At 41.1% G+C, this 2,009-nt stretch overlaps 1 annotated feature.

Annotated features, from left to right (window-relative positions):
* Positions 236-436: a silencer, noted in NCBI's record as "peak7170 fragment used in MPRA reporter construct". NCBI's record gives its function as "represses an SCP1 promoter by STARR-seq MPRAs in K562 erythroleukemia cells {active_cell/tissue: K562}" and the evidence as "EXISTENCE:reporter gene assay evidence [ECO:0000049][PMID:32103011]".

Below are 2,009 nucleotides of genomic sequence, written 5' to 3' on the forward strand. Positions count from 1 at the left end.
AGTCAGATAACTGGGGATTCCATCCTAATGGTGAACCTGCCCCTATGAACTTCAAACAATTATTCAGGGAAAAAGAGAGGGGGAGAAATAAACATAAACCAAGTTTGCAGCATGGTCAGCATTAATCCTGAGGTCAGCTCATTCTCTGACCTGCTTCCTCATAGTTGTTCGGTGCCTACTTTCTTAAAATCATTAGACCCTGTTAGGAGATTATAGTTCCCTTATCTGCTCTATACATAGCAACTTGATTATGAAATGTTAAGTCTTCCCTTTGAGATACTCCTTCAGGTCCTGCAGACAGATGAATTTACTGACTCAGCTAGTCTGAAGAACCCCACTGATGCCAGCTGATCTGAAGGACTCCATGAGGAGCTGACTCACCAAAAAATGCAGTTTCCACATCCCGATGACTTCATCCCCTTGCCTTGATTAATGAACAACTCCAATTTTCCAGCCCTTCAACCTCCACAATCCCCTTAAAAACCTTAACCCAGAGCTCCTTGGGGCGATAGATACTTGAGGTTCTCTTCTCATCAACTTGCTCACCACCCGTGATTATTAAACTTTCTCTGCTACAAACCCTGCTGTCTCAGTGTAATGGCTCTGTTACTGCCCAGTGGGCATATAAGCCTGTTCGTCCTATAACAGTGGGTCCATTTCACTGCCCAGTGATCATACACAAGCTATACTTCCTCTGTAAAATGGGAATCACAGTGGCAACCTCCAAGGTTATGCTGATGATTAAATGAAATAGCATTTGTAAGGTTCTAAGCACGGGACCTGGCATTCAGGATATGCTCAATAAACATTTTATTTCCCCTTTCCTGAGGCTCAATTTCCACACTTATTCAAGGAGGAGAGTAATAATACCTTAAAGAGAGGGCACAAAGGTCAAATGCCATAACCTGTGAAATGTGATTAGGAAATGCATCATTTTACGAATGAGTGTTGCCTTTACTGCTGGACATGACAAAGAAGGCCCAAACCTACTCTCACCCCTAACCACATCCCACAATTGAATGTGTCATACTGCCTTTATTACTCTCAAGTAACTTTTGGCTCTTTAACCCAATCTTTGCAACAAGCACACAACTAGTGAAGCGGTACTTATACTTCTGAACAGAGTTGATATTTCCCAATATGTCTAACCCAGAGCTGTGGATCCATCAAATGTTTGGTGAACATTTGTGGTTGAGATCACCCCTTGTATTCATTCTTGAACTTCCTCAACTTTCCCTTCTCTGCAACATCAACTTATCCTCCACCAAGTTAACTTCTTCACTATCATTTACTTTCTGAAGTCAAAAATCATTCTTGACTCTTTAATTTCCTTCACTCTGGGCCCCTTACCCTGAATCATAATCCATCTGGAAGTCTACCTAGAGAACATATCTCAAATCTGTCTACTTTATTTACCTATTATCCTAGTCCTAGATATCATGTTCTATCCTAGAGCTACTTGAAAAGTCCTTCATTTCCACTCTTACACCTCTTATTTCCCTGCAAATCCATTCTACACACAAAAGCTAAGGTGACCTCCAAAAATCACAATCAGATCAAATTGCGCCCCTGCTTAAAACCTTTCAATGATTTCTCATTTCATTCCAAATAAAATTCAAACTTTACCGTGGAACCCAATGACCTATATGATACATCCCCCAATTACGTTCACTCACCAACAAATGTGTATTGAGTATGTGACAAGTGTTGGAGACTTAGAAACAAATTTTGAAAACAGGTGGAAATCCCTGTTTTCATGGAGGTAACATTTCTGTGCAGTGTTTTCTTACTTTTTCTTTTTTTTTTCTTTTCTTTTTTTTTCTTTTTTTGACAGAATCTCTCTCCGTCACCCAGGCTGGAGTACAGTGGCTTGATCTTGGCTCACTGCAACTTCCACCTCCTTGGTTCAAGTGATCCTCCTGCCTCAGCCTCCTGAGTAGCTGGGATTACAGGCATGCACCACCATGCCTGCCTGGCTAATTTTTGTATTTTTAGTAGAGACGGGGTTT

Source organism: Homo sapiens, chromosome 8, assembly GCF_000001405.40.
Source record: "Homo sapiens chromosome 8, GRCh38.p14 Primary Assembly".
In the NCBI taxonomy this organism is placed as follows: domain Eukaryota; kingdom Metazoa; phylum Chordata; class Mammalia; order Primates; family Hominidae; genus Homo; species Homo sapiens.